Source organism: Homo sapiens, chromosome 8 (genome assembly GCF_000001405.40).
Source record: "Homo sapiens chromosome 8, GRCh38.p14 Primary Assembly".
NCBI lineage: Eukaryota > Metazoa > Chordata > Mammalia > Primates > Hominidae > Homo > Homo sapiens.
The window spans coordinates 47,003,255-47,019,969 of NC_000008.11; the positions used below are offsets into that span (position 1 = coordinate 47,003,255).

The 16,715-nt window shown below is 43.7% G+C and overlaps 1 long non-coding RNA gene across 5 annotated transcripts in view; it reads left to right on the top strand.

Annotated features, from left to right (window-relative positions):
• Positions 1-388: 388 nt before the first annotated feature.
• The window catches only part of LOC105375815 (uncharacterized), an 80,550-nt gene continuing 64,223 nt past the window's right edge, over positions 389-16,715 (top strand). For 3 of the 5 annotated variants that reach the window (XR_928842.3, XR_928841.3, XR_928840.2), the window contains exon 1: positions 389-543. This is a non-coding gene — a long non-coding RNA (uncharacterized LOC105375815). Of the gene's footprint in view, positions 544-12,458; positions 12,582-16,715 lie in introns of those variants that run through there. The other 2 variants (XR_928844.2, XR_928843.1) reach the window with 2 other exon arrangements.

Below are 16,715 nucleotides of genomic sequence, written 5' to 3' on the forward strand. Positions count from 1 at the left end.
AAAAACCTCAGCAGCAGGCTGTGTGCATATATGAGTGTGACAATACTAGCTGTTGGCTTGGTGTGCATAGAAGAGTTACACTCTGACCTATGAGGTAGGCCCTATTATGACACTGTGTACCACTTGAGGGCTTTATATAGTAGGTAAGTGAATCACAATTTTCTCTGATACTTTCATATAGCTATGAGACTCATGATCTTAACTGTGTTCCTAGTCCAGGTATGAGAATCAAAATCTCTCCTACTAGCTGGGTCCAGGTTTGAGAGTCATCATATGGCCAGTGAGCTGGGTTCAGAAATGAGTTACCATCTTCCCTGTGGGCTTTGCCCATGTATGAGGGTAAAATCACCTAGGTGCCAGGCCCAAGTATATGTCACAATCTCACCTTTGGGCATGGCCAAGGTAGAAGTCACCCAGGTGCTGGGCCCCTGTATATGTCATAATCCGACCTGTCAGCCAGGACCAGGTAGAAAGTCAAATAACCTAGGCCCTGCAACATTGCACCCAGGTAAGAGAGCCAAATCACCTAAGTGCTGGACCCAGGTAAGAGAGTCAAATCAAAGCTTTACTAAAAACAGTACATTTTCTCTCTGGAATACATGTCACATTCCTCTTTTGTAGTAATATAAAACTCCCAACCTTCTGCTTTTTGGACATACCAAAGACCACCCAATCTATACGTATGCTTCAAATTGCAATTCTTTCTTAACATTAAATTTAGAGATTCAGCTCTACATCTTTATTTTGATTTCAACAGCCCTTTGATTCACTGGCATGTATGTTGTGTCATGTGTGAGGTCAGCTCTAAATTGTTTTGGTTTGGTTCATGTTTTTGTATATAGATATCATTGGGAAAGGCACTTTGTGCAGGCAGTCTTTGGACCTCTGCTTTGCCAAATAATGTGTCTTGAGCCTGGAACATGTTCTTACCAAGAGATAAAGTGCTGGACTCACTACTTTGTGAAGGGATATCTTTCTCTGCTCTGAGCTTAAAGTAGACTTTTTTATTCTTAAGCACATGTGCTAATGGCCCTCAGGCAGCCCCAGATTTCTGTAATTAATGTTCCTTTCTGTCTCTGGTAATTTTATTTGCTTTATAAGTTTACCTTTTCCAGTTTATTTTTTTTCTTTTGAGACAAGTCTCACTCTGTTGCCCAGAATGGAGTGCAGTGCGGCGATCTCAGCTCACTGCAACCTCCGCCTCCCAGGTTCTAGCAATTCTCCTGCCTCAGTCTCCTGAGTAGCTGGGACTACAGGTGCACACTGCCATGCCCAGCTAATTTTTTGTCTTTTAGTAGAGATGGGGTTTCACCATGTTGCCCAGGCCGGTTGTGAACTCCTGAGCTCAGGCAATCCACCCACCTTGGCCTCCTAAAGTGCTGGGATTATAGGCGTAAGCCACCGCGCCTGGCCACCTTTTCCAGTTTTAATACACCCACTCCTGCTTTCTTTTGATTATTGTTTGCATAATATACATTTTTCACTCTTTTACTTTCGACCTACCTGTCATTGAATTTGAAGTGAGTTTTTGTAGACAGAATTTAGTTAGGTCATTTTCTAAAATAATCTTTGTTTCTCCCCACTACTCATACTTAACACACTGTCAATCTCTGCCTTTTGATCACTGTATGCATATTATTTACACTTAAGGCAATTCTTGATACCTTAGAGCTTAAGTATGCTATTTTATTATTTTCTGTTTGCTTCCTCTGGTTTTGTTCCTGTTTCTTTGTTGTTGTTTTTTTGCCTTCCTGTAGGTTAAACATTTTAAAAAAAAAATTCATTTTGATTTACTTATGGTGTTTTTAGAGAGGTACACACTTTAAGTATGTAGTTTTTGTAGTAGTCGCTGTGGATATTACAATATATCTCATTCTACTGATATATGACTTTGAAGTATGGAAATATTACTCCCATTTAAGTCCTTTTATTTTTTACACTTTTAAATATAATTGCTTTGAATATCAAGTGCTGTTATAATTTTTGTTTCAAGTATCAAGTATGACATATAAAACTCAAATGGGGATTGTCTATTAAAAACTTCCTTTAGCAAGTCTTTATAACTATGTCTACTAGTGACACATTCCTCAAGAGTGGTATCCCTAACTGCCATTAGGGGGTGTTAAACGACGACTCTTTCTGGCTACTTCCCGCTGAAAAGAAGTGTTGTGCTGGGAACAGCACTTAGGGCTCCTCCTGGGGTCGATCTATGGGTCCTCAGAAGAAAGGTGTGTCCGTAGGTGGTTCTGTCTGCAGCACCATTTGGAGTTTGCTTCTAGATGAAAAGAGATAAATTTTACAAGAAAGTTTAGAATATAGGGTTTGAATATAAGTATTAAGATTACCATTATTAGTGGGGGTACTATAGGCCATAACCATAACAGTAGAGTTTGATACCTGTTAGCTATTCTAATGGATTGTAATACTTGTTTGCCTCCACCAAATGTTGCTGTACTTTACCAGAAACGTTAAGATAAAAATAACATTCTTTAGCCAGACACAGTGGCTCATGCCTGTAATCCCAGCATTTTGGGAGGCCAAGGCAGGCAGACCACCTGAGGTCAGGAGTTCAAGACCAGCCTGGCCAACATGGTGAAACCCCGTTTCTACAAAAATACAAAAATCAGCCAAGCATGATGGTGGGTGCCTGTAATCCCAGCTACTCAGGAGGCTGAGGCAGGAGAATTGCTTGAATCGGGGAGTGAGCCAAGATTGAGCCATTGCACTCCAGCCTGAGCAACAGAGTGAGACTCCATCTCAAAAAAAAAAAAAAAAAAAACATTCTTTTTAGGATAAATGGCATTAAATTTGGGTGGCTAAAGTAACTTTAGTGTTAACCTTGGCTAAATTTTTCCAGCAATTATCAATCCTTTCACAATTTCCACAGACCATTTATGACATGCTTAAACTTTCTTAGTAGTCCTAAACACCCCTTTTTTAAACAACCAGTTATTTCCTTTTAGGACAAGAATTTACCATCCAAGATCCTTTCTTATATAAAATCTTTTTTTTTTTTTTTTTGAGATGGAGTCTCGCTCTGTCACCCAGGCTGGGGTGCAGTGGCACAATCTCGGGTAACTGCAAACTCAGTCTCCCAGGTTCAAGCAATTCTCTGCCTCAGCCTCTCAAGCAGCTGGGATTACAGGTGCCCACCACCACACCCAGAAATTTATGAAAAAAATTTGTATTTTTCATAAAGAGATGGGGTTTCACTATCTTGCCCAGCACTTTGGAAGGCCAAGGTGGATAGATCACCTGAGGTCAGGAGTTCAAGGCCAGTTTGACCAACATGGAGAAACCACATCTCTACTAAAAATACAAAATTAGCTGGGCATGGTGGCATATGCCTGTAATCCCAGCTACTCGGGACCATCTTGGTCAGGCTGGTCTTGAACTCCTGACCTTGTGATCCAGCCACCTTGGCCTCCCAAAGTGCTGAAATTACAGGCGTGAGCCACTGCACCCAGCCAAAATATCCTTCCTTTATGACCTTAATTGAATAGCTAGGGTGTGACATATTACCAAACCCAATAAGAAGTCCTAGCTAACTTAGTGATAGTAAAATTTTCATGTTTACTTCCTGTCAGTAACTATTATCCCTGCTATAAGGATAATAATTCCACAAAATATTACAGTAGTTGAGGCTCTTTATCCAATATTCCACTCTGGGGTTGCTACAATATATAATCCTTCTGTAAATAGTAGAGTGAGTATATAATTCTGCAAGGGTGGTGTAGTAGATAATTTCCATCAAAAAGTTTTACTTGCCAAGACATAGAATTTCTCTTTGGGGGTCTATGAAGTTATAAATGTAATCCCAAGGATAACTAAAATCTTTCTGCAAAAATGCATTAAAAAGAAGTTCTAATATCTGGTGGCAAATCTAAAGAGAAACATAAAAATGACAAAGTATTTGCTGAGGTAAAGGTGGGACTGAGTAAGATGAGTAGCTCTCACTTATCTTTTATGATTTGTAGCTTCAGATATCTTATTTCTTCACATTGATATTCAGGATGTTCCTCTGGGCTGTCAGGGGTTGCTCCCACAGCTTTCCAGGCTTTGACTCCAGTGTGATAAATCCAGTAGTTGACACCTGTAACTTTTACCACTGAGGGGGCTGAAAGAAAAACAGTGTGGGGCCCTTCCCAGCTTGGGCTCAGGACAAAGAGAGAGAAGGGAGAGCCTTCACCAATTCCAAATCTCCAGAGTTTGGAGCTGGGAGTTAAAGGCCAGCTTGACCAACATGGAGAAACCCCATCTCTACTAAAAATACAAAATTAGCTGGGCATGGTGGCACATGCCTGTAATCCCAGCTACTCGGGGGGCTGAAGAAGAATCGCTTGAACCTGGGAGGCAGAAGTTGCGGTGAGCCGAGATCGCACCATTGCACTCCAGCCTGGGCAACAAGAGTGAAACTACGTCTTAAAAAAAACAAAAACAAAACAGAAAAACAGCTTTATTACCTCGGAGGCCTTTTCTGTATGGGGTGGAAAGGTTTCTATGCAGTTAGTGAAAGTATCTATCCATGCCAGGTGGTGTTGAATGCCCTTCACCTTTGGCATGTGGGTGAAGTCTATCTGCCAGACCTCCCCTGGAAAGCTTCCCATCCTTTGGGTTTGAGGAGAAAGCTGCTGCCTTCACAAGCATTAACAACCTGTTTGACTGTTCTTAATAAATTCTTTCTTGAAAATTTTTGGGCACACTGGTAAGTTTTACTCTTTCCTAAATCAAATGCCTGGTGGATTTAAAAACTTTCCATTGGCTGGAGGCTGGCAAGTGGAGTTTGCCATCTTCTGACTGTAGCTGTTCTGAGGGCTGGAAAGTATATCCTCAAGAAGTGATGCATCCTATTTCTGCAGGGGAGTACTGAGGTTTAATTTCTCTTATGGAGCCTTTCCAAATTAGGGGGGCTTGAAGTATGTTGATGCGCTGAGGCTTCCTTGCCACTGACTTAGCTGCCTGATCAGCAAACGTATTTTCTTTGTCTGCTTTATCGGTTGTCTTTGATGTCCCTTTCAATGCATTCCTGCTATTTCTCATGGAAGGAAAAGTTGAGGATAATAACCAGTAATTTTGGGAGATGCATTAGCTGTAAGAAAAAATGGCTTTCTTTCCAAATGACAGCATGAGCATGGAGAACTAAGAAAGCATACTTCAAATTACTGTAAATGCTAGCTACCTTTCAATTGCTTAATTCAAGCACTCTTGTAAGAGCTATCAGTGCAGCTAATTGAGTGCTTGTGCCTGGAGAGAGAGAGACTTTCAATGATGTCACTTAGAGTGACTACTGCATATCATGCTTTATGGATCCCTTGCTCTACAAAGTAGCTCCCATCTTTGAAGAGGGTCCAATCTGGATTTTCTAGGGGAGTTTCCCTGAGATCTTCCCTGGCTGCATAGGTCTGTATTATAACTTGTTCAGAGTCATGTTCAGTTTCCCCAAGGAAAGTGGCTGGGTTTAGATGAGAACAAGTTTTTAACTGGATTGTGGAATCCTCTAACAGCAGAGCCTAATATTTAAGGAGCCAACTGTCTGTTAGCCAAAGGCTCCCCGCTAGAAGACAGTAATCCTGCCACATCATATGGGGTGTAAACAGTTAAGTCATTTCCCAGGTTAATTTGGTGGCTTTTAGGACCAGTAGGACCACCGTGGCAATGGCTTGGAGGCATTTGCAAATAATAGGTCCCCCCAAGTGCAACTAAGGGGTTGAGAAAAATATTAGAGTTTTTCCTGAGATGTCCCACATGGTGGTGCCACAAGAAGAGGGGAGGCCTGGATTAGAGAGAGGAGAGAGAGGCTGACTCCATTGTTTAGAAGGAGGTCTACCTGGCTGGATGCAGCAGCTCACGCCTGTAATCCTAGTACTTTGGGTGGCCAAGGTTGGCGGATCACAAGGTCAGGAGATTGAGACCATCCTGGCTAACACAGTGAAACCCTGTCTCTACTAAAAATACAAAAAAAATTAGCTAGACGTGGTGGTGGGCACCTGTAGTCCCACCTACTCTGGCGGCTGAAGGGGGGAGAATGGTGTGAATCCAGGAGGCAGAGCTTGCAGTGAGCCGAGATCGCGCCACTCCACTCCAGCCTGGGCGACAGAGCGAGACTGTCAGAAAAAAAAAAAGGAGGTCTACCTTTCTTCCTCCAATTTCCAGAATCACCTGGGGCTCCTAATGGCAGTTTGAGCCACTACAGCCAGGGGTTTGAGCTCCAGAACCCATCAGTCCTGTTGGACCATGTGTGAGACTGGTTCTGAACTCGGTGACCTCCATCTCCGGGGGCAGTCTGATCTGTAGTGGTCTTTGCCACAGGCTGGACAGGGTTGAGGTGACTTTTCCTTGCTGCCTGGGTACTCCTTCTTAAAGTGTCCTGACTTTCCACATCGATAGCCACTAGCAGACGCACCATGGGGATCCTGAACTTTGTAAGCCTGCAAAGCGGCTACTAGAGCCTCTGTCGTTTTCTTGTGCTTCCTCTCTTTCTGCTCGACCTCCTCCTGATCCCTATTATAAAAGACCGAAGTGTTCACCCTCAGGAGGTTTTCCAAGGTGCTATCTGCTCCTATAGCCTCCTTATGCAGCTTCCTTCTAATATCAGGATCTGCCTGTGTAATAAACTTGTCCTTTAGGATGAGCTGTCCTTCTACTGAATCAAGGGATAAGGAGGTGTGTTTTATTAGTGGCTCTCTCAGCCTTTCCATAAAGGCTGTGTGATTCTCATCTGGTTTTTGGTCTATCATGGACAGCTTAAAGTAATTAAGAGATTTGGTCCTAGTTCTTTGTAAGCCCTCTAATATGCACATTAAAAAGAGTTTCTCTTTCCATTCGTTTGTGGAGCTATCGGAGTTCCAATCAGGATTGTCAAGAGGAACTATTTCCCTTCCTGTTGGGAATGGCGTTTCCATTATTTCTTTGTGTTCTGTATTAGTCTGTTGTCACACTGCTGATAAAGACATACCCAAGACTGGGAAGAAAAAGAGGCTTAATTGGACTTACAGTTCCACATTGCTGGAAAGGCCTCAGAATCATGGCAGGAAGCAAAAGGCCCTTCTTACATGGTGGCAAAAGAAATGAGGAAGATGCAAAAGAGAAACCCCTGATAAAATCACCAGATCTCGTGAGACTTATTCACTACCACTAGAACAGTATGGGGGAAACCGCTCCCATGATTCAAATTATCTCCCACTGGGTCCCTCCCACAACTTTATGGGAATTATCGGAGTATAATTCAACATGAGATTTGGGTGGAGACACAGAGCCAAACCATATTCTGTCCCTGGTCCCTCCAAATCTCATGTCCTCACATTTCAAAACCAATCACACCTTCCCAACCGTCCCCCAAAGTCTTAACTCATTTAAGCATTACCTCAAAAGTCCACAGTCCAAAGTCTTATCTGAGACATGGCAAGTCCCTTCTGCCTATGAGCCTGTAAAATCAAAAGCAAGCTAGTTACCTCTTGGATACAATGGAAGTACAGGTATTGGGTAAATACAGCCATTCCACATGGGAGAAATTGGCCAAAACAAAGGGGTTACAGGGCCCATGCAAATCTGAAATTTAGCAGGGCTGTAAAATTTTAAAGCCCCCAAATAATCTCCTTTGACTCCAGGTCTCACTTTCAGGTCACGCTGATGCAAGAGATGGGTTCCCATGGTCTTGAGCAGCTCTGCCCCTGTGGCTTTGCAGAGTACAGCCTCCCTCCCAGCTGCTTCCATGGGCTGGCATTGAGTGTCTGTGACTTTTCCAGGCGAACAGTGCAAGCTGTCAGTGGATTTACCATTCTGGGGTCTGGAAGACTGTGGCCTTCTTCTCGCAGCTCCACTAGGTGGTGCCACAGTAGGGACTCTATATATGGGGTCTCTGACCCCACATTTTCCTTCTGTTATTGACCTAGCAGAGGTTCTCCATAAGCACCCTGCCCCTGCAGCAAACTTCTGCCTGAGCATCCGGTTGTTTCCATACATCTTCTGAAATCTAGGTGGAGGTTCCCAATCCCCAATTCTTGACTTCCGAGTACTCACAGGCTCCACACCATGTGGAAGCTGCCAAGTCTTGGGGCTTGCACCCTCTGAAGCCATGGACCAAGCTTTATGTTGGCCCCTTTCAGCCACAGCTGGAGTGGCTGGGATGCAGGGCACCAACTCCCTAGGCTGCACACAGCACGAGGACCCTGGGCCCAGTCCACAAAACCATTTTCTCCTAGGCCTCCTGGCCTGTGATGGGAGGGACTGCTATGAAGACCTCTGACTTGCCCTGGAGACATTTTCCCCATTATCTTGAAGATTAACATTCAGCTTATTAGTTACGCAAATTTCTGCAGCTGGCTTGAATTTCTCCTGAGAAAATGGGTTTTTCTTTTCTATCACATTGTCAGGCTGCAAATTTTCCAAACTTTCATGCTCTGCTTTCCTTATAAAACTGAATCCCTTTAACAGCACCCACATCACCTCTTGAATGCTTTGCTGCTTAGAAATTTCTTCTGCCAGATAACCTATATCATCTCTCTCAAGTTCAAAGTTCCACAAATCTCTAGGGCAGGGGAGAAATGCCACCAGTCTCTTTGCTAAAATATAAGGAGAGTCACCTTTGCTCCAGTTCCCAAGTTCCTCATCTCCATCTGAGACCACCTCAGGCTGGACCTTATGGTCTATATTGCTACCAGGCTTTTGGTCAAAGCCATTCAGCAAGTCTCTAGAAAAGTTTCAAACTTTCCCATGTTTTCTGTCTTCTTCTGAGCCCTGCAAACTGTTACCCAATTCCAAAGTCACCTCCACATTTTCAGGTATCTTTTCAGCAACACCCACTCTACTGGTACCAATTTATTGTATTAGTCCATTTCACGCTGCTGATAAATACATACCCAAGACTGAGAAGCAAAAGAGGTTTAATTGAACTTTACAGTTCCACATGGCTGGGGAGGCCTCAGAATCATGGCAGGAGGTGAAAGGCAATTCTTATATAGCGGCGGCAAGAAAAAATGAGAAAGATGCTAAAGCAGAAACCCCTGATAAAACCACCAGATCTCATGAGACTTATTCACTACCATGAGAATATGGGGGAAATCACCCCCATGATTCAAATTATGTTACACGACGTCCCTCCCACAACACATAAAAATTATGGGAGTACAATTCAAGATGAGATTTGGGTGGAAACAGAGCCAAAACATATCACCTTCCCTATCTCCTTTTTTCCTTTTTGACCTACTATAGGAGATATATTGCTCATCTCCAAAATTTTCTACTGCCTACAAAGCTGCCTGTTTTTCAGCAGCAGTGAGGGTTTGGCTTAGGAGCAGCATAACCTCCCTCCATGTGAGGTTAAACATCTGAGTTAAATTTTGGAAAGCTTCCTATCAGAGTTGTCAGAAAATTGGCCTAAGTCTCCCTTTATTTGCCTAAGGTCCTGTAATGAGAAGGGAACTTAAAGGGGTCCCAAATAAGGGGGATCCTCAGATGGTTTCTCTATAATTTACTTCTTTAATACTGGGGAATCATTCTCTATACACCTGCCTGATATGACTGCTGAAAGAGCTGGGTTGATTTTGCAGTGCTTGCAAAGGTCTAGTAAGAATGTCATCCCCTTGTGCAAAGAAAAATGAACTGCTTTTTTCTTCAAAGTTTTGCAGTTAAAGGAGTCCCAATCTCTCAGAATACACTTGAGAGGAGTGCAGGCTGAAAACGGTCTGATACCGATCTAGAAAGAGAAGTGAGAAAAAAAGGATCTTTTCCTTGGGATGGTCCAAGGTGGCGGGGAAGACACTGGGGGCGTTCCCCCTACTGTTTCCTCTCCTTGGTTCCTGGGGTCCTGGCACCTTGTTAAACATGCCACCCAGGGTTGCCAGCATGACCCCCAAGCCATGGAACCAGAGGAACTAAGTGATGAGTTTAGTCATGTGTACCCATGCAGCCCTAGTTCTGTTTGTGATTCCCCTTTCACTTCCTAGATTTGTATGATCTGCATGGCTCCCTGAAAGACAGATCTCAGGAAAGACTATGTAATAGTTGCATTTGGCCAAGGCCCCTTTAATGGAGGGGGTGTACTAGATTGAACTCTATATCCTGCAATTATGGCCTGTGCTAAAGCATTTACCCTTAGAGAATGGTTCTGGTTAGCTTCTGGACTTACAATCCCCTTACTATTTAAGTACCATTTTAACTACAAGCAGGATAGATGCCTTACAAGAAAATAGTGATTAAATGATGGTTTTCCTGCTGATGGACAGTTTTGAGACTAAAATTTGGTTTCAGAGGACATTTTCCTTCTGATCATTGATGGCATAGTTTTTCTTATTCACAGAAGAGGCATAAAGCCTGGACTCTAATAGAGGGGTGCAAAAAGGGAGGAGAATTGGGAAGCTAGAGTGTCTCAGCAAAGGACCAACAATGTGCCTCATGGAATGAACTTCTATTCCACTAAGTGATGCTGTTGACCTAGAAATACCATGTGCTTGCCAGAGGAAGGGTAGAAACACTCACTTGGGGAGACCTTCTGCTCCTAGAAAATTACAAAAACGGCATTCCCTTGAGCTACACTCCCAGTTACTATAGCATTTTCTGATCTTTCATAACAGGACTATTTCCCTGAACTGTAAAAATTCCCACAGCATTGCACAGAGAGAGAGAGGATAGGAGACATGATGGTCGTGGATAGGAAAGGAGAACATTTGCAATTAAAAAAGCTGGAGATACTGTTGCCAATCCGATTGGGCAGTTGGAGGCTGGGGTCAGTCCAGAAGCCTTTGAATGACACCAGGGTGTAGCCCTGGCCAGAAATCCTCAGTTGCTCCAGGACCTCTTCCAGCCCCAAGAGTATGGCTAGGTCTTCCATGAAGAGAAACCGGTTTGAAACATAGACAAAATGCCCAGCAATCTGAGCGCACTGGGGGATTCGCCATGTTCTCTCCAAAAAGCCTGTCATGAGACTTGAGAACCACAGCTCACCCTAGAGGCATCTAGATGGCCATCAGACACACAATATATGGTCTGATTTGATTTTAAAATGGAGGCCAAGGGCCAGGTGTGGCGGCTCACACATAATTCCAGCACTTTGGGAGGCCGAGGTGGGCAGCTCACTTAAGGCCAGGAGTTTGAGGCCAGCCTGACCAATATGGCAAAACCCCATCTCTACTAAAGAATACAAAAATTAGCTGGGTGTGGTGGCACATGCCTGTAATTCTAGCTACATAGGAGGCTGAGCAACGAGAATAACTTGAACCTGGGAAACAGAGGTTGCAGTGAACCAAGATCATGACACTGCACTCCAACCTGAGTGTTATAGTGAGATTCTGTCACAAAAATAAATAAATAAATAAATAAAAATAATAAATAAAATGGAGGCGGAGAGCCCTGAAATGAAAGGACAGAGTTGAGGTCCACTCCTACCTATACTCACCCTCTTGATAATCCCAGACAAGCTCCCACAGTGAAGCTGTGTCATTTGTCTGGGGTAGTACCCAAGGTTCACTGCCTCACGCTAAGGAAATCAAGGACACAGACACACACACAAGGAGTGGGTTTAATAGCAGAAGTTTAATAGGAAAAAGAAAGAAGAGCGCTTTCTTATGCAAAGAGTTCCCAAACGGTTTTCGGGTTCACAGTGAGATGTAGTTGGTTTACAGATGAGCTTGAGGAAGTGGTGTCTGATTTACATAGGGCACAGAGGATTGGTTAAACGAGGTGTGCCATTTACATAGTGCACAAAGAGGCTGGCCATCCCACCCTGATCTTTTATTATGCAAATTCGGTCTCTAACAGGCTGGCACCATGTTGCCTGCTTCGTGCTGCACACGTGGTGACAAAAAAAAAAAAAAAAAAAAAAAAAAAAAAAAAAAAAAAAAAAACAGAAAAAGGGAACTTCCATGTTGACTATACCTGGCTTCCAGGTATCCCTTTCCTATTGGCACAGCTGCCAGCATTTATCTATGCAAGTTGTCTATGCTTGCAGCTTGATTTTTCAGGCTGCTTTTTGTTAGGAAAAAAAAATTATTTGGGGGCTGCTTTTTATTGAAAGGAAAACCTTACTGAGGACTTTTACCCTATCTACCTAAATAATATCTTTTTAGTTCCTGTATCAGAATGATGCCAGTATTCCCTGGGCAGCCCCAGCTGGTGTCTAAGTAGATCATGTTTCCCCACCCCGCCCCCAACCAGTCCACTGTAGTCCACTGTCTCTGGGCCTAGTTCAGCACTAGGACTTGCCTAGGCATTGTAGTCCTTATGGTCTAAACTGCCTTTCAAGTTTACTGGGAGACAGAGTGTTGTAGTCCTCAGTAGTGAGGTTTGTGAGAACACAAGTTCTGACCACTGAGATCAGCAATTCCCCTCCGGCTAGGGCTGGTTTAAATGCTCCCTCTGTGGGCAGGCATCAGCTGAGTTGGGTCTGGTTTTCCTTTCTACTCTAACAGAAAAGCACTGAGTTCAATGCCTAACAATTACTGTGTTCTCCCTCCCCTAGTGCCCAGAGATAATCTCCATACCATGATGCTGCTGCTGGGGGCAGGAGAAGAGTGACGTCAATAACTCAGGACTGTTTTTTATCTGTCTCTTCAGTGCCTCTTTCAGTGATATAAAGTTAAAACCAGGTACTATGAGTGCTCACCTGATTTTTGGTTATGGCATTTTTTCATGTAGTTTTAAAATTGGTGTCCTTGCAGAAGGACGGTCAGTGGAGCATTTCATTTCACCATCTTGCTCTGCCTCCTCTTGTGGACTTTTCTTATTCATATAGTTTCCTTATTTATCTATTCTCCAGTAGTATACTGAGCTTATCTATCTGTTCTCTAGTAGCTTACTGAGCTTATCTATCTCTTCTCTAGTAGTTCACTGAACATCTTTAAGATGATTGTTTTCAGTTCTATTTCAAGTAATTTATAGATGTCTATTTAGGGTCAGTTTTTGGAGCTCTGTTAGTTTTCTTTTGTAGTTTGTAATCTTTGTATTCTTACATTGGTGGTTCATTTGAAGGAGGAGCCACCTCTTCTAGTCTTTACAAGCTGGCTTTTCCAGGGGAAAACCCTTCACTAGTCAGCCTCTCCTGAGATGCTGGCAAGCCAGATGGTTGCATCTGTGAATGGATAGGCCTTCTGTCAGTGTCTCCAGAGTCTGTGGTCAGAAGAAGCTTGCTGCTTCTGCTTTGCAGTAGTGTGGGCCCAGCTGGCTTGGCTCCTGAACAGGTGAGGCCAGAGAGAGGGGCTTCAGTCAGGCCAGGCCAATGACTGTGGCTGTGGACTACTGCCAAGATCCATGCACCCTAGCCACCGAAAGATGCCACCATCTTTCTTTGTTCCTAGCTGTCCCCAGGTGGCCTAGCCATGCTTGCTTCCTCGGTGTTCTGTTTGAGGTGAGACAGAAGTGGGCCTCTTGGGAAGGGCCCCAAATGCTGGGGAAGCTGAACACCCACCTTGGTCTCTCTTTAACCCACTGGAGAAATCAGAGTGAGGACATCTTTCTTGGCACTAGAGATATGAATAAAATGGAAATTTTTAAATTGTGCTTTTTAATGTAGTTTTCCTGGGCTTTTGTGCACTACTGGGGTGCTCAACCCCTGGGTTCTGGAACTCCTACAAAGGTGCTCTCATTCGTAGATATTGTTAAATTGGTGTTTCAGTAAGAAAACCAGGGTAAGAACCTTCTATTCTGCCATCTTGCTGACATCGCCACTGTCTGGCTGACTTCTTATAGACTCCTTCTGCGGCTCAGTCCACATAGCCTCCTTTGGATGAGGTTTCTTTGCCCTGTGGAGAGGAACCTGTCCAGATCACTCAAGCCTAGGTCTTCTCTGAAATATCTACTTGATCCATGTGATCCCCTCATTACCTTCCACATAATGTAAATTCTGTGCCCCTTACTCCTTGCCTTGCTAGTGGATAAGTCCCACCAAAGCCCTGTTGTCAGAATTCTTAAGGTAATAATCATGCAATTATCTCCTCTGGTTAACATATGGCATATTCCTTCAAGAATCTTCTCTCTCTCAGCTCTAGCAGCATGGGGCTGACTCACCAAGTTTCTACATCTTGGCCAGCATTCAGGTAGGGAGTGAGGTAACAGGCTTTTCACTTGAAGATCTTCATAGTCTCTATGACTGCTTTATTTTGCAGGGAGGAGAAGGTAGCTTACCCTCATTTGTATTCTGGGTAAGGGTGAGAAGGCACCAAGAGGTGAAGAGAGGAAAAGCCATAGCATTCACTAAACTTTGCATTCCCTTCAAATAATACTTCAATAAATATCTAACCTTATTCTTTTAGACTGTTGTAGATGACCGTCACTAAACCTCATGGATAAAACAAGGCTTCTCTCATTCATTGTCCTCAGTTTTCTAGTTTCATTTGAATTTCTGTGAAAACAGGGTAAGCCTCACTCCTATTTTGTTTTACATATCTTTGAATTATTGGAAAATAAATTCAAGATTTTTAATTCATTATACACAAAGTAAGAACTTCTTAGAATATATCCACTATTATAGAGTAAAGAACACTGGACAAGTAAGAACACTGAAATTTGCATACCACCTCCATATCTTTCAAATTGTGCATCAAGGTGAGAGTGTCTTTACCTCAATAAACTTCTAGTTACCAATCTATAAAATGAAAACACACAAAACACACACCTGGAATATTGAGAACAGAATAAAATAGAATATCTAGAACAATTATCTACAGTCTCGGGTGACTGCATGAAACTGAATGTTATAAATTATAACGTTTTATAAGAAAGACATTACTAAATTATCAGCTCCTCAAGTTCAGGGACCATGTCCTGTTTGTATTTCTATAAAAGCATTCAAATATTTATTGGATGCATAAAGCTTTGAATAAACCTAAAATGAAAGTAGTAAAATGGAAAAATGAAGACAACAGGGGTATCTGTGATAGGCAGAATAATGGTCCCCCAAAGAGGTCCACATGCTTACTCCTGGAACCTGTGAATATATTATGTTACATGGCTTAGGGCAATTAAGGTTGCAGACAAATTAAAATTTTTAATCAGCTCACCTTAAAACGGAAAGAGAATCCTAGATTATCAAGATGAGTCCAATGCAATCACCAACCTCTTCAAGGTGGAAGAGGAAGACAGAAGATGGAGAAACAGAGATGGCAGCATGAGGAAGACTACTTGATGTTGCTTCTTTTGAAGACTGAAGAGTGAGGCCAAGAGCCAAGGAATGCAGGTGGCCTCTAGGGGTTCAAAAAGGAAGAGAAACAGATTCTCCCGAGTGTCCAGAAGAAATGCCATCCTGCCGAAACCTTGATTTTAGCCAAGTGAGACCCATTTCAGACTTCTAAATTTCAGAAAAGGAAGGTAATAAATCGGAGTTGTTTTAATCCACCAATTAAACTAAAATAGTGTATAACACTAACAGTACATAAAGGTTGGTCTGCAAGAGAACAGTGAAAAAAAAATATGTCAGGTACAAGCCCAAGCTAACATGAGCTCGACAAACTATCCATAAAAGGAGGGAGGAGGAGCCAAGATGGCCGAATAGGAACAGCTCTGGTCTACAGCTCCCAGTGTGAGCGACGCAGAAGACGGGTGATATCTGCATTTCCACCTGAGGTACCAGGTTCATCTCACTAGGGAGTGCCAGACAGTGGGCGCAGGTCAGTGGGTGCATGCACCATTCACGAGCTGAAGCAGGGCGAGGCATTGCCTCACTCTGGAAGCGCAAGGGGTCAGGGAGTTCCCTTTCCTAGTCAAAGAAAGTGGTGACAGACAGCACCTGGAAAATCGGGTCACTCCCACCCGAATACCGCGCTTTTCCAATGGGCTCCTGGTGCGCTTTTCAGCCAGGCTTAAAAAACGGTGCACCAGGAGATTACATCCGGCACCTGGCTCGGAGGGTCCTATGCCCACGGAGTCTCGCTGATTGCTAGCACAGCAGTCTGAGATCAAACTGCAAGGTGGCAGCGAGGCTGGGGGAGGGGCGCCCACCATTGCCCAGGCTTGCTTAGGTAAACAAAGCAGCTGGGAAGCTCCAACTGGGTGGATCCCACCACAGCTCAAGGACGCCTGCCTGCCTCTGTAGGCTCCACCTCTGGGGGCAGGGCACAGACAAACAAAAAGACAGCAGTAACCTCTGCAGACTTAAATATCCCTGTCTGACAGCTTTGAAGAGAGCAGTGGTTCTCCCAGCACGCAGCTGCAGATCTCAGAACAGGCAGATTGCTTCCTCAAGTGGGTCCCTGACCCCTGACCCCCGAGCAGCCTAACTGGGAGGCATCCCCCAGCAGGGGCAGACTGACACCTCACACGGCCTGGTACTCCAACAGACCTGCAGCTGAGGGTCCTGTCTGTTAGAAGGAAAACTAACAAACAGAAAGGACATCCACCCAAAAACCCATCTGTACATCACCATCATCAAAGACCAAAAGTAGATAAAACCACAAAGATGGGGAAAAAACAGAGCAGAAAAACTGGAAACTCTAAAAAGCAGAGCGCCTCTCCTCCTCCAAAGGAACGCAGCTCCTCACCAGCAACGGAACAAAGCTGGATGGAGAGTGACTTTGACAAGCTGAGAGAAGGCTTCAGACGATCAAATTACTCCGAGCTATGGGAGGACATTCAAACCAAAGGCAAAGAAGTTGAAAACTTTGAAAAAAAATTTAAAAGAATGTATAACTAGAATAACCAATACAGAGAAGTGCTTAAAGGAGCTGATGGAGCTGAAAACCAAGGCTCGAGAACTATGTGAAGAATGCAAAAGCCTCAGGAGCCGATGT